Below are 15351 nucleotides of genomic sequence, written 5' to 3'. Positions count from 1 at the left end.
CACACATTTATGGTCAATTAACTTTTGACAAAAATGCCAAGAACGCACTATGATGTAATGACAGTCTCTTCAATAAATGGTGTTGTAAAAATTAAATATCCACATGCAGAAGAATAAAATTGGACCTGTATCTCAAATCATATTCAAAAACCAACTCAAAGTCGAATAAAAACTGAAATATATGATCAGAAACTCTAAAACTTCTAGAAGAAAACATAGGAAAAAAGCTTCATGACATTGATCTGGGCAATGATTTTTTTGATATAATCACAAAAGCAAGACAACAAAAGCAAAAATGGAATAGAATTACACCAAACTAAGAAGCTTCTCTATATAGCAAAGGAAACAATCAACTGAGTAAAGAGAAAATCTACAGAATGGGAGAAAATATTTGCAAACCACACATCTGGTAAGTGATTAATATTCAAAATATGTAAGAGATTCAACTCAATAGCAAGAAAGCGAATAATCTGATTTTAAAATGGACAAAGGACCTGAATAGACATTTCTCAAAAGAAGATATACAAATGGACAACAGGTATGTGAACAAATGCTCATTACTAATCAGGAAAGTGCTAATGAAACCCACAATGAGATATCACCTCACAACTATTAGAATGGCCATTATCAAAAAGATAAAAAGACAAGTGTTGGCAAAGATGTGGAGAAAAGAGAACCCTTGCACACAGTTGGTATAAATGAAATGTAACCTAGTATAGCCGTTATGGAAAACAGTTGAGAGATTCCTCAGAAAATTAAAAATGGAACCATTATATTATTATATGATCCAGCAATCCCATTTCTTGATCTATGTCTAAATGAAGTGAAATCAGTATGTTCAAGAGAGATCTGTGCTTCCATGTTAGTTGCAGCATTATTCGCAATAGCTAAGACATGGAATCAACCTGTGTGTCCATTAACGAATGAATGGATTTTAAAATGTGGTATATATACACAGTAGATGATATGGTTTGGATATTTGTCTCCTCCAAATCTCATGTTGAAATGTGATCCCCAATGTTGGAGGTGGGACCCAGTGGGAGATATTTGGGTCAAGGGGGCAGATTCCCTCATGAACGTCTTGGTACCCTCCACCCAGTAATGAGCTCATTCAAGAGCTGGTTGTTTAAAAGAATATGATATCTCTCTTGCTCCTGTCTGTCTTGCTCCCTCTTTTGCCATGAGATGCCTGCTCCCCTTTTGCCTTCCACCATGATAATAAGCTTCCTGAGGACCTCACCAGAGGCACATGCTGGTGCCATGCTTCGTGTACAGCCTGCAGAACTATGAGCCAAATAAACCTCTTTTCTTTATAAATTATTCAGTCTCAGGTATTCTTTTATAGTAATGCAAAACAGAATAACAAGGCAGAATACTATTCAGCCATTAAAAAATGAAGAAATCCTAATATTTGTAATGACATGTATGAACCTGGAGGACATTATTTTAAGTGAAATAAGCCAGGCACTGAAGACAAAAACTTATATATATAATGTAAAAGTCAAACTTATAGAAGCAGAGGGTAGAATGATTGTCCACAGGGGCTAGGGCAGTGTCTGGGATTGAGAAGATCAAAATTTTAGTTAGACAAAGGGAATAAGTTCAAGAGATCTATTGTACAGCATGGCAACTATAGTTAATAATAATGTATTGTGTGATTGAAAATTGCCAAAAGAGTATATTTGGTGTTCTCACCACAAAAAATAATGATAAGTATGTGAGGTAATACATATTAATTAGCTTGATTTAGCCTTCCACAATGTATACAGGTTTTAAAACATCATGTTGTGCACAGTAAATGTGTACAATCTTTGTTAATTAAAAAATAAATAAATAACATTTTTAAAATTAAAAACTACAAACATAGGGAAGAAATCTCTCTCCAAAGGAAACAGCTATGCAGAGAAGCAACTCTGCCTGCAATATAAAGACAAATTTTTGCATTATCCCAAAGAGTTATTTAAACCTTAACCGAGTTTATTTGCCATTTTTCAAACTTTTTTCTCATTACGTTTTGTTCTACATTTGCATACACAAGTGACTTTCTGATAAGAAAGAACATTCCACAGCAAATATGCATCCATATCAGAGCCTCTTGCAGGAGACAGATGATTTGCAGCTTTGACATGACAGTTCTTTATTATTCCCTACAATATTTTAAAGATCACAGAACCCATTTTCCACTTCTGCTGAAGCTCCAGGTATGATATATTCTTCTTTCCCAAAGCAGCCTCTGCTAAAGGAAGCTTTTCCCAAGCACAGAGCCTAGGAGGGAGAGCTCAGCACTGATAAGAGCTGAGGTTGATTTCTGCCTGCCTGTCCACAACTTGCCCCAGAAACCAAAGCTTTTTCTCTCAGTAACTGGTAATTGATTCTGACAAGGATTCTCAGTCTTCAACTGGGTTTAGCTCAGAACACTTGTTACAAATATACCAGGACACTTAACCCTGAATTTTCAATTTTATAAGAATTTCTTACAAGAAAAATTAACAAATATATAATTTTGTGGGGTTTTATTATACAATTTATAAATGCAAACTATAGAAAACTACAAAATATATCTATGAAAAAAAAGCATTACTATTAGGCCCACCACCCAAATATTACTACAGATCGTTTGTAAATCCTTCTTCCTACCATTTTAGGGGATGTATGTATTTATTAAACAGAGAAGTAGAACAAGAATTACAAACACTTTGTGACCTCTTTTCTCATGTCAAAAATTGATTTTTTTTCTATGCTAGTAAACATTCTTCTGCAATATCGCTTAATGATTACATGGTATGTCAAAATTAATTTATATAACCAGTGACATATTATTAGCAGTACTGTGATCACTACTGGGTGACAAGATCAATTGTACCCCAAACTTCAGCATTATACAACATATCCATGTAGCAAACCTGCACGTGTACCCCTTGAATCTTAAAGTAGAAGTTGAAATTTTTTTTTAAATGCAATTAGGTTGTTTGCTGGTTTTGTTATTACAATCAATGTCTTTGTTACACAATCTTGGCACATAACCATGATTCTTTCCTTAGGATAAATTCCTAAACACAAAAATACTAGATTGAAAGTTATGTAAATTTTGTTTTATTTTTAATTGTATTCGTTTTTAATGTTTAAGTTCAGGGGTAACTGTGAAGGTTTATTATATAGGTAAACTGTGTCATGGGGGTATGCTGTATTGATCATTTCATCACCCAGGTGTTAAGCCTAGAACCCACTGGTTATTTTTCCTGATTCTCTGCCTCCTCCCACCCTCCACCTTGCAGTAAGCCCCAATGTCTGTTGTTCCCCTCTGTGTCCATGTGTTCTCATCATTTTGCTACCACTTATAAGTGAGAATCTGCAGTATTTGTTTTTCTGTTCCTGCATCAGTTTGCTAAGGATAATGGCCTCCAGCTCTATTCATGTTCCTGAAAAGGATGTGATCTTATTCTTTTTTATAGCTGCATAGTATTCCATGGTGTATATGTACCACATTTTCTTTATCCATTCTATCACTGATGGGCATTTAGGTTGATTCCATGTCTTTGCTATTGTGAGTATTGCTGCAATGAATATATGCATGTAAGTGTCTTTATGATACAATGATTTATATTTCTTTGGGTATGTACCTAGTCATGGAATTGCTGGGTCAAATGATATTTCTGTTTTTGGGTCTTTGAGGAATCGTCTCAATGTCTTCCACAATGGCTGAACTAATTTACACTCCCGCCAACAGTGTATAGGCATTCCTTTTTCTCTACAACCTCACCAGCATCTGTTATTTTTTGACTTTTTAATAATTGCCATTTGACTGGTGTGAGATGGTATCTCATTGTGGTTTTGATTTGCATCTCTCTAATGACCAGTGATAGCTTTTTTTCATGTTTGTTGGTGGCATGAATGTCTTCTTTTGAGAAGTGTCTGTTCATGTCCTTTGCCCATTTTTTAATGAGGTTGTTTGTTTTTTCTCTTGTAAATTTAAGTTCCTTGTAGATGCTGGACATTAGACATTCATCAGATGCATAGTTTGCAAAAATTTTCTCCCATTCTGTAGTTTGACTGTTTACTCTGTTGACAGTTGTTTTTAGTTTTGAGTTTGTTTGTTTTTTGTTTTTGCTGTGCAGAAGCTCTATAGCTTAATTATATCACATTTGTCAATTTTTGTTTTGGTCGCAATTGCTTTGGCATCTTCTTCATGAAATCTTTGCCTGTTCCTATGTCCAGAATTGTATTGCCTAGGTCGTCTTCCAGGGTTTTTATAATTTTGGGTTTTACATTTAAGTCTTTAATCCATCTTGGGTTGATTTTGTGTACGATATAAGGAAGGGGTCCAGTTTCAATCTCTGCATATGGCTAGCAAGTTATCCCAGCACCATTTATTGAATAGGGAGTCCTGTCCCCATTGCTTATCTTTGTCAGATTTGTCAAAGATCAGATAGTTGTAGGTGTGCTGCCTTATTTCTGGGTTTTCTATTCTGTTCCTTTAATCTGTGTGTCTGTTTTTGTAACAGCACCATGCTGTTTTGGTTACCATAGCCTTGTAGTGTAGTTAGAAGTAGGTAGCATGATGCCTCTAGCTTTGTTCTTTTTGTTTAGGATTACCTTAGCTATTCAGGCTCTTTTTTATTTCCACATGAATTTTAAAACACATTTTTCTAGGTCTGTGAAGAATGTCATTGGTAGTTTAATAGGAATAGCATTGAATCTATAAATTGCTTTGGAGAGTATTGTCATTTTGAAGATATTGATTCTTCCTATCCATGAGCATGGAATGCTTTTCCATTTGTTTGTGGCATCTCTGATTTCTTTGAGCAGTGTTTTGTAGTTCTCATTGTAGAGATCTTTCACCTCCCTGAATAGCTGTATGCATAGGTATTTTATTCTTTTTGTGGCAATTGTGAATGGGATTGCATTCTTGATTTGGCTCTCAGCTTGACTGTTGTTGGTGTATAGGAATGCTAGAGATTTTTGTACACTGATTTTGTATCCTGATACTTGGCTGAAGTTCTTTATCAGCTGAAGGAGCCTTTGAGTCAAGACTATGGGGTTTTCTAGATATGATTATGTTGTCTGCAAACAGAGATAGTTTGACTTCCTCTCTTCCTATTTGGATGCCCTTTATTTCTTTCTCTTGCTTAATTACTCTGGCAAGGACTTCCAATGCTGTGTTGGGCAGGAGTGGTGAGAGAGAGCATCCTTCTCTTGTGCTGGTTTTCGAGGGGAATATTTCCAGCTTTTGCCCATTCAGTATGATATTAGTTGTGAGTTTGTCATACGTGGCTCTTATTATTTTGAGTCACATTCCTTTAATACCTAGTTTATTGAGAGTTTTTAACATGAAGAAATGTTGAATTTTACCAAAAACATTTTCTGCATCTATTGAGATATAATCATGTGGCTTTTTTCTTTAGATCCACTTACATGACGAATCATATTTATTGATTTGCATATGTTGAACCAACCTTGCATCCTGGGGATGAAGCATATTTGATAGTGGTGGATAAGTTTTTTGATGTGCTGCTGAATTCGGTTTGCCAGTATTTTGTTGAGGATTTTTGTATCAATATTCATAAAGAATATTGCCCTGAAGTTTTCTTTTTCTGTTGTGTCTCTGCCAGGTTTTGGTATCAGGATGATATGGGCCTCATAGAATGAGTTAGGGAGGAGTCTCTCCTCCTCGATTTTTTGGAACAGTTTCAGCAGGAACAATACCAGGTCTTTTTTTGTATATCTAGTAGAATTCAGGCTGTGAATCTGTTTGGTCCTGGGCTTCTTTTTTTTTTTTTTTTTTTTTTGGTTGGAAGGCTATTTTAGGCTGATTCAGTTTTGGATCCCATTATATGTCTGTTCAGGGATTCAATGTCTTCCTGGTCAGTCTTGGGAGGTGTATGTGTTCAGGAATTTAACCATTTCTTCTAGACTTTCTAGTTTATGTGCATAGAGGAGTTCATAATATTCTCTGATGGTTATTTGTATTTCTTTGGGGTCAGTGGTAATATCCCTTTGTTGTGTCTAATTGTGTTTATTTGAATCTTCTCTTTTTCTCTTTATTAGTCTAGCTAGCGGTCTATTTTATTAATTTTTTCAAAAATCCAGCTCCTGGATTCACTCATCTTTTGAATGGTTTTTTTGTGTCTCAATCTCTTCCAGTTCAGCTGTGATTTAGGTTATTTCTTATCTTCTACTAGCTGTAAATTTCTAATTTAAAAAATGCATATGCTAAAACGCTTTCAAGCAAGCTTCATCCAATTTACCCTCCTCTCATTTAAGCACTTTTGCCAATATAGGGTATTATTTGATTTTTAATATTTTATAATTTGATACATAAAAATATGGAATCTCACTCTGTCTCACATCATTCATGTGTAATGTCCTATCTGTGATTACTTGAAAAGTTGAATTTTTTATATTGTAGGCCAATTGTTTGACCTATTTTTTGAATTGCCTGGTGCTGTTTTTGGCCATCATTGTTTCATTTTCTCTGACTTTTTTGTTTTTGTTTTTCTCTTTTTTTTCTTGAGACATAGTGTTAGTCTGTTGCTTTTTTTCTAAATTAGGCATTCTCTTTCCATTTTTCATATATTTGTCACTTTCTTATAGATTTATAAGACTTCTTTTATGTGAAAGATGTTAAAAATACACTGCCTTCCTATATATGTTGACACGGTTTCATTTCTTTCTTTTTAAAAAGATCAGTAGTTTAATATTGATTTATTCAATCAATATTAATAAGTGTGCAATAAAATCAACCAAATTCTGCTTACTGGTTTCTGTCTCTGATGTCATACTTGGAAAATCTGCCTTTCTAAGATTATGTAACCATTTATTTTCTTCTATTAATTTTGTTATTTCAATTTTTAATAGCTAAAATATTAACCCATCTGGAATTTGGATGGTGTATGGAATAGGTAAGAATCTAAATTTTTTTAACGATGGATCAATTGTTACAAAATTAGTTTGTATCAAACTCATTCTTTTCTCACCAATTTAGAATATTACTTTCATCATATATGAAATTCTTAAATATAACTTTTTATGGGGTTTCTAATCTCATTGAACTGTCTTTCTCTTCCTCTGCCAATACCAGGTGATTTTAATTTTAATTGTGTTTGTCTTTACTCATCTTCTTTCTTCATTTTCCTCAGAAAAAAAGGTTTAGCTCTTCTCTAAAATTTAATTATTAAAATTAACTTTAGAGCCACGTTGCAAAGTTGGGATTCCAATGGGAATTGCATTCTATTTGTGTAGTAATCTGAGGAGAATTTACTTCTTTACAATATTAATATTTCACACCCAAGAACATCCACTTAATCAAGATTCTTTTATGTTCCTCTACTTATTTTGTAGTTCTCTTCAAGAAAGACTTGAACCTTTTCATGAGAGTTATTCCTAAATATTTTCTAACTAAATTTTAAAAAGAGTTAAGATCTTGGTAATCCTGTCCTAATTTCTAAATATGGTCTATGTGCTTCAGCTATAGTCTCCTACACAGTGGTTCTTAAGAACTCTAAACCCTGAGATGAGGGGGAAAATCAATTGTACATCAAAATAGTAAATACTTGGTAATGAAGCAGTGTTACAGATTTTTATTCCGTCATTTCTAAATTTTCTTTATCTTTATATTTAAAAATAAGTTTAACATGTGAATGAGAGACCTATCACTTAAGACCCAAAACTCCCACACTTTCCATTTATGTCAATATATTATACATAGGTGTAGGCACCAAAAATTTTTGTGGTTAGTCACCCAAACTAGATTATAAAGGCTTTAATATTTCCCTGCACCTTTTATTCGTTATTCTTCATGGCTCCTAGTACAATATCATGAAAATAGTAAATGCCCAGTTGATGCCTCCTCAAGGAGTTATCAAGTGAATTGAGTGACTAAAGCAGAAGATGGAAAGAACTACAAAATTTGATGTGGCACATCAAAATAACTTGCGCACTGTTTTGTTTTTAAATTATAATTCTTGTAGGCATGTCTATGTCTTCAACTAGACTATAAGTATGTTGTCACTAGGAGCTGTATCTCATATTCCCTTTATGTATTCTCATATTCCCATCAGAACAACTTAGGGACAAATCATGGATTGATTAAAAATAAAACTTCATATGCTAAAGAACCAAAACCACATAAAAATGTCAAAGAAGACAAAATAGAGAATACATCTGCATCCTAAACAAGCATTTTTAGAGCCATTACCCACATTTTAAATAGGCCAAAGTGTCTCAGTCTGAGGAAAAGGATTATAGCAAAGCAAGCATTGTTTTTGGTGGTGGCAGTAGTCTTCACTTTTTGTTATATTAGAAAGTGCAAGACAATAGTCAGGCGTGGTGGCTCACGCCTGTAATCCCAGCACTTTGGGAGGCCTAGGCAGGTGGATCATTTGAGGTCAGGAGTTCGAGACCAGCCTGACCAATATGGTGAAACCCCATCTCTACTAAAAATACAAAAAGTTAGCTGAGCGTGGTGGTGGGCACCTGTAATCCTAGCTACTTGGGAAGCTGAGGCAGGAGAATCGCTTGAACCCAGGAGGCAGAGGTTGCAGTGAGCCGAGATTGTGCCACTGCCCTCCAGTCTGGGCAACAGAGCGAACTCCGTCTCAAAAAAAAAAAAAAAGAAAAGAAAAGAAAAGAGAAGAAAAAGAAAAAGAAAAAGAAAGAAAAAAAAAGTGCAAGAAAGTAACAAGAATGTTTGTCATTTTTTAAAAATGAAACCTCGGCCGGGCGCGGTGGCTCACGCCTGTAATCCCAACACTTTCGGAGGCCGAGGTGGGCAGATCACGAGGTCAGGAGATCGAGACCATCCTGGCTAACACAGTGAAACCCCATCTCTACTAAAAATACAAAAAATTAGCCGGGCGTGGCGGCAGGCGCTTCCCAGCTACTCGGGAGGCTGAGGCAGGAGAATGACCTGAACCCAGGAGGTGGAGCTTGCAGTGAGTCCAGATCGCGCCACTGCACTCCAGCCTGGGCGACAGAGCGAGACTCAGTCTCAAAAATAATAATAATAAAATAAAATAAAAAATGAAACCTCTAGACAATATATTGTAGAACAGATAGATACAAATGCGGGTCATCTCTTTGTTTTTGCTGAGTCTGATAACATTAAGGTGAACACTGAACAGCCATCTGCTAAGTAATTAAACCTGCCGCTTATTAATGTAACTCTTGTATTAGTTCAGCATTGATGAACAATTTAATGGGTTGAGAAATTGCAGATTCAATTTCCTGTGTCACTACTCTCTCGTGTTCCCATAATCAAGTTAGATATGTTTTTACCCAAAACTATGTTAAATCAAAATAGTGTTAAAAAGAAGAGTCAATATTCTGATATACCACAAGATGGGGATGTTACTCCATCTTAAATGTCCCCATTGCCCTGCTCCCGCATCCCAACCCCTGTTTTGTTTCAAGATATTTAAAACTCTCCTGAAGACTAAATTTGGGTTTTCTTTCTCAAAAATTAAGATTTCAGATCATCTATGTTTCCAAATGAAGTTAGAATCAAACCATCTATAAAACAAAATGGAAACAGGGATATCCACTTTAAAATGTGTCAGGGATACACGCTTTAAAATGAGTGTATCTTTGTTTTTCTGCAGATTATATGCATTTGAATTTTGAACGGAGCTTCATGGTGGGCGTGTGTGTGTGTGTGCGTGTGTGTGTGTGTTTTATTCCGCAGGTGCTTGTTATCCTGTCTCTTCATCCACATGAAAGCCTCCTACATAGTAATTTTGTGAGTCCCTGTAATTGTCTCTCCCTTTTAGCTGTGCTAGTTCACATTTGCAACTCCAGTATGAAGTGAGTATGTGTGTTTGCGTTTCTTTGTCTTGTGAACATGTGACTGTGTCATCCTTTGTTTCTATTCTTCCTTATCTCTTCTGTTTTTCCATTTAAAAAAATCTTAATACAGCAAAGGTATCTGGTAGTCTATAATGATGCTAAAAAATTTCTTTCCTTTCACCCACTATGTCTCTCCATAATAGTCACTAAAGGTCTGATTTTTAAAATTAGTTGTTATTATCAAATTGAATTAGGAAATGAGAATATTTTATATGTTTTATATGCTCCCTGGTGTGTCTTGCATGTATGTGTGTATGTTTATTGATTTTTTTATTCCTCTGGGTGCTTTGTATTTAATATAAGAGGGGTTCCTTATTCAATTGTTTTACATACTCCCTGGACACTGACTTAAAAGAAAATCTCCTTTTGATCCATTACGTCAGTCAGAAATCGCTGTTTCCAGGGGAATTTAAATTGGTTTTCTCAGCAATTTATTATTTTATAAGAAGCTTGGCTACCCTACTAATCAAAATTTTATATTCTTATTTAACATGGGATTAAATTGCCTAATTCTACTATCAAATTCATAAAATATTTTCTTTTAAAAAAGTAACTATGTTCTTTCACTCCTATTCAACATTACACTGAAAATCCTAGCTGATAAAACAGGACAAGATAAAGAAATAAAAGGCATAAGATTGAGTAGAATAAATAAAACTGTCTTTGCCCATGGATGACATGAATGTTTAGGTAGAAAATTCCAAAGAATCAACACACAAAAAAACTACAGGAACTAATAAGTGATTATAGAAGGTTTCAGGATACAAGGTTAATATACAAAAGTCAATTACTTTCCTATACCAGCAATGAACAACTGAAATTTGAATCTAGAAACGCAACAACATTTACATTAACACTGAAGAGTGAGAGAAGAAATACTTAGGCATAAACCTAACAAAATATATACAAATCTGTAATAGCAAAACTACAAAACTCTGATGAAAGAAGATTTAAATAAATGGAGTTATTCCATGCTCATGGATAGGAAGACTCAATATTTTCAAGATATCAGTTCTTCCCAGCTTGATCTAAAGTGTCAAGAAAATCTCAACCAAAATCCCAGCAAGTTATTTTGAGAATTGATTATTAAGAGATTCTAAAGTTTACATGAAAAGGCAATAGAGCCAGATTAGTTAGTGCAATGCTGAAGTGGAAGAATGAAGTCAGAGAACTGACACCACATGACTTGGAGATTTACTATAAAGCTATAATGATCAGAACAATGTGGTGGTGGAAAAAGAATAAACAGATAGATCAATGAATAGAGAGCTCAGAAATAGACCCACACAAGTATACTCAACTGATCTTTGACAAAGGAACAAAGGCAATTCAATTGAGAAAGAAGAATATTTTCAACAAATGATGCTGGAACAATGGAACATCTACATGCAAAAAAAAAAAAAGAAGCTAGACACAGACTTTACACCCTTCATAAAAATTAACTCAAATGGTTTCATAAGCTTAATTGTAAAATTAAAGCAATACAACCTCTAGAAAAAAAAAAAAAACAACAACATTGTAGAAAATCTAAGTCACCCTGGGTTTGGTGATGACTTTTTAGATAAAATACCAAACGTATGACTCATGAAAGAAAAAAGTAGTAAGTTGGACTTCATTAAAATTAAAAGCTTCTGTCGGGTGTAGTGGCTCATGCCTGTAATCTCAGCACTTTGGGAAGCCAAGGCAGGCAGATCACTTGAGGTCAGGAGCTCAAGACCAGCCTGACCAATATGGTGAAACACCATCTGTACTAAAAATATAAAAATTAGCCAGGCATGGTGCCACATGCCTGTAGTCCCAGCTACTCAGGACTCTGAGACACAAGAATCACTTGAACCCAGGAGGTGGAGGCTGAAGTGATCAAAGATGGCACCACTGCACTCCAGCCTGGGTGACAGAGCTAGACTCTGTCTCAATAAATAAATAAATAAATAAGTACTTTTACTCTGCAAAAGACACTGTTAATAAAAGGAAACAAGAAGACACAGACTGGGAGAAAATATTTGCAAAACACATATCTAATAAAGGACTGTTATCCAAAATATAACAATAACTCTTAAAACCAGAGACTCAAGGGGGAGAAAGAAAGGGACGTAGGGAATGATGAAGAGATGGTGTGAAAAGGATTTTTAAGCAAGTGAAACCATTGTGTATGATACTCTAATGATAGATGCATGACATTATGTATTTGTCAAAATTCATAAAACTATACAATACAAAGAGTGAATCCTCATGTAAATCATGACCCTTAGTTAATAATAATGTAACAATATTGATTAATTATAACACATATGCCACACCGAGATGTTAATAATTAGGTAAATTGTGGGGAGGAATATGGAAGAGGGGGTATATGAGAACTCTCTGTATGATCTGTATAATTTTTCTATAAACCCAAAAGTGCTCTAAAAGTAAGGGCTATTAATTTTTAAAAAAGGAATGTCACATTTTATACTACCTTTTAATGGCTATTAGTCAAAGTAGCCTTATTAAATTAATTGAAACTCTATTAGAATACTGCTAGTTTCAAAGAAAATTCAGAATAAGGTCCATCCATCTAGATAGTTTAGTCATCCAAGGTAATTTACTACATTTTAAAAGTTTTTATCACAAGACATTTGCATTACCTACTGGATCCAAGATTCTATGATTGGATGGGAAAACTCTAGTAAACATCTCCCTAATATTAAAGATGCAGTTATGGCCATAAATTCCATAAGAATTATGTCTTATGTTAACATAGTCCATCCCACCTAGTCTTAGGCATATATCTTTTAAATGTTTATCAAGTAAATGACTGCATAAATGAATAAATTTCTTTTGTTTTTTTTTTAGACAGAGTTTTGCTCTTGTTACCCAGGCTGGAGTGCAATGGCGTGATCTCGGCTTACTGCCACCTCTGCCTCCCGGGTTCAAGCGATTCTCCTGCCTCAGCCTCCCAAGTAGCTGGCATTACAGGCATAAGCCACCACACCTGGCTAATTTTTTTTTTTTTTTTTTTGTATTTAGTAGAGACGGGATTTCACCATGTTGGGCAGGCTGTTCTTGAACTCCTGACCTCAGGTGATCCACCCACCTCTGCTCCCAAAGTGCTGGGATTACAGGCATGTGCCACCACGCCCAGCCATAAATGAATAAATTTCTACTTGGGTTGTATAGCGACATAAGTCCTTTCCATTGATTTTGGGATTTTATCTACAGCAAATAAATGAAGTACATGGTATTCTTTATTATTCTTCCTCTTGGACTCCATTGAACAAAAAGATAATTATAAGTCTCATCTACAAATTCTTTAATTCATCTTTCCTAAAAACTAACAGAAGCCAAAATCTGTAAACCTGTTATCATTTTATTAGAAACTCAAACAAGTGGGGATCTATTGTCACGGATGTTTTAAGAATTTAAGTCTCACAACAAACCATTCCATCTTATGAATTAGATAAAGAGAGTTCTGGTGAAGATTCATTGCAAAAAACTGTGATTATTCACTGAAATTGCAATCTGTATTGAGATAAGAGGTTGATTTTACCATAGTGATAATTAGCTTATCACCTCACTAACGTAGTTCAAATAAACCAAACAAATATAACAATTACGCAGATTTTCTTAAAACTAGAGAAATTGCTAAATGTCACTTAAAGTTGTCAAAATTAATTTTACAGATAAAAAGAAAATGGTTAAACAAGTTATAACACAATTCAAAATTTCAATTAGCCTAGATTGATGGATACACTGATCTAAAAACATAGAAAAGTAGTGTTGCTTGGAAATACAGTGTTTAGATTTACCAAAATTTTTAATAGTGGTAGATTCTAGACCTGGGATAAGAGTACACATGAATGACATGGTAAGGAAGAATAACACAATAGAAGAGCTAGACAGAATTTTAAGAAATACCTTCATTTTAATGAAAAGGCAGGGGGAGAGGAGTCTATGAAGGAAAACAAGAAAGAATAGACAGACGAGTGTTGTTAAGGCATTTAAGAACGTCCACCATTACTTCTTCCATCTCACTGTAATCACTACACTTGGTCTAGACTTAAAATTGAAGGACTATAAGCAAATCAGAATCAGTGTGCCAGGCATAGTTTCTCTTCCTAGAAAGGTTATATGACATATGGCTAATAACACCAAATTGAAAATAAGCACAAAATATAGCCTTTTTGAGCAGCCCTTTTGCATCATCTTTTTGCAGCATAGTTAATAAATCATTTTAAATGGACAGAAGAGGAAAAGGTCAATCTGTTGTCCCAAGTGCAGAAATGGCCACAAATGTCTACGAAATTCAATACAAAAGGTCATTGAAAGAGAATCACATTATCTGTCTTGTTAAATTTGTTAACAAATTCTTATTAAATTTGGGTTGACTTTCTAGATTATATAATTGGGTATATTTTGATGGCCAAATATACTTCTTTGAAACTAGAGGAATCAAATAAAAGGCTTATATGCCAATAACCATCATACCCAGTGTAAAAGCAAGATCCCTAAGGGTTGGAACAGTGCCTAACATATAGTAAATTAGGCAATCCTTGGTGTTCTCAGGGGATTGGTTCCAGGACCCCTTCAGATGCCAAATTCTACAGATGTTCAAGTCCATCATACAAAATAGCTGTTATATTTGCATATAACCTATGCACATCCTATCATATACTTTAAATCATGTCTAGATTACTTATAATACCTATACTTTAATAGATTACTTATAATACCTAATGCATGAATGAAAGCTTCTGAAAGCATTTGTATTGCTCTTTGGTAATTTGCTCTGTCCCCATACCTTCAATGTGAAGGAATCATGGAGTCTCAAAGTTGAAAAGAGCATCTCATCAAACAGCCCATATGGTCTAGCCAATTGGCTGTCTAATCAATCTTTTAACTCTACTAGTGATGGAAACTCAATACTTCTGGAGGAAGTCCATTATGTGGCAACAACTCTAGTGTCAAGTTGACCCTTTTATTGAGTCACAAACTAATTCTCTGTTGTCAGTTGATCCATAGAGAAATAAACAAAACATATTTGTTGTGTGTTACCATGGGCTAAAAGCAATATATACCATGGGCTAAAAGCAATATATATGTCCACTGCTAAATTCTAAGTACCTAGAGCAGTGTCTGCCATATTTAAGGCTTCTGTAAATATTCACTAAATGTTATGTTATTATGAATATCCACTTAATTCATTATTGCCATTAGACTATTTACATACCTTTTTTTTTTAACATTGACTCCCACAAACCACATTCTTCCTCTCTTTACACTTTGCAGTTTGGCAGATATGGATGAAAGGAAATCACCAAACAGCCAAACAGTCATTTTAATAAACTTTATCTTGTTAGAGGATGGAATGTATAACAGTCATACTTGCATTTTTAAGTACTATTTTTTGTGTATGTTATTAAGTGTTAAGGATTAGAAAAAAGGTATTCTAATCTAGTAAATAGAAAATAAATGCCCTGTGTGTCTACCTTTATTTTAAAGCATTTTTATTTCAACTTCTATTATATATAT

The 15351-nt window shown here is 34.5% G+C and overlaps 1 annotated feature.

The window, feature by feature from the left end:
* Positions 8495–8707: a silencer, noted in NCBI's record as "fragment chr11:96160777-96160989 (GRCh37/hg19 assembly coordinates)". NCBI's record gives its function as "represses an EF-1alpha promoter that drives an FKBP-Casp9 reporter gene in an ReSE screen in K562 erythroleukemia cells {active_cell/tissue: K562}" and the evidence as "EXISTENCE:reporter gene assay evidence [ECO:0000049][PMID:32094911]".

The sequence above is a fragment of the Homo sapiens genome, chromosome 11, assembly GCF_000001405.40.
Source record: "Homo sapiens chromosome 11, GRCh38.p14 Primary Assembly".
NCBI classification, from domain to species: domain Eukaryota; kingdom Metazoa; phylum Chordata; class Mammalia; order Primates; family Hominidae; genus Homo; species Homo sapiens.
The sequence above is the reverse complement of the archived record's forward strand: the minus strand, read 5'-3'. Positions and strand labels throughout refer to the sequence as shown.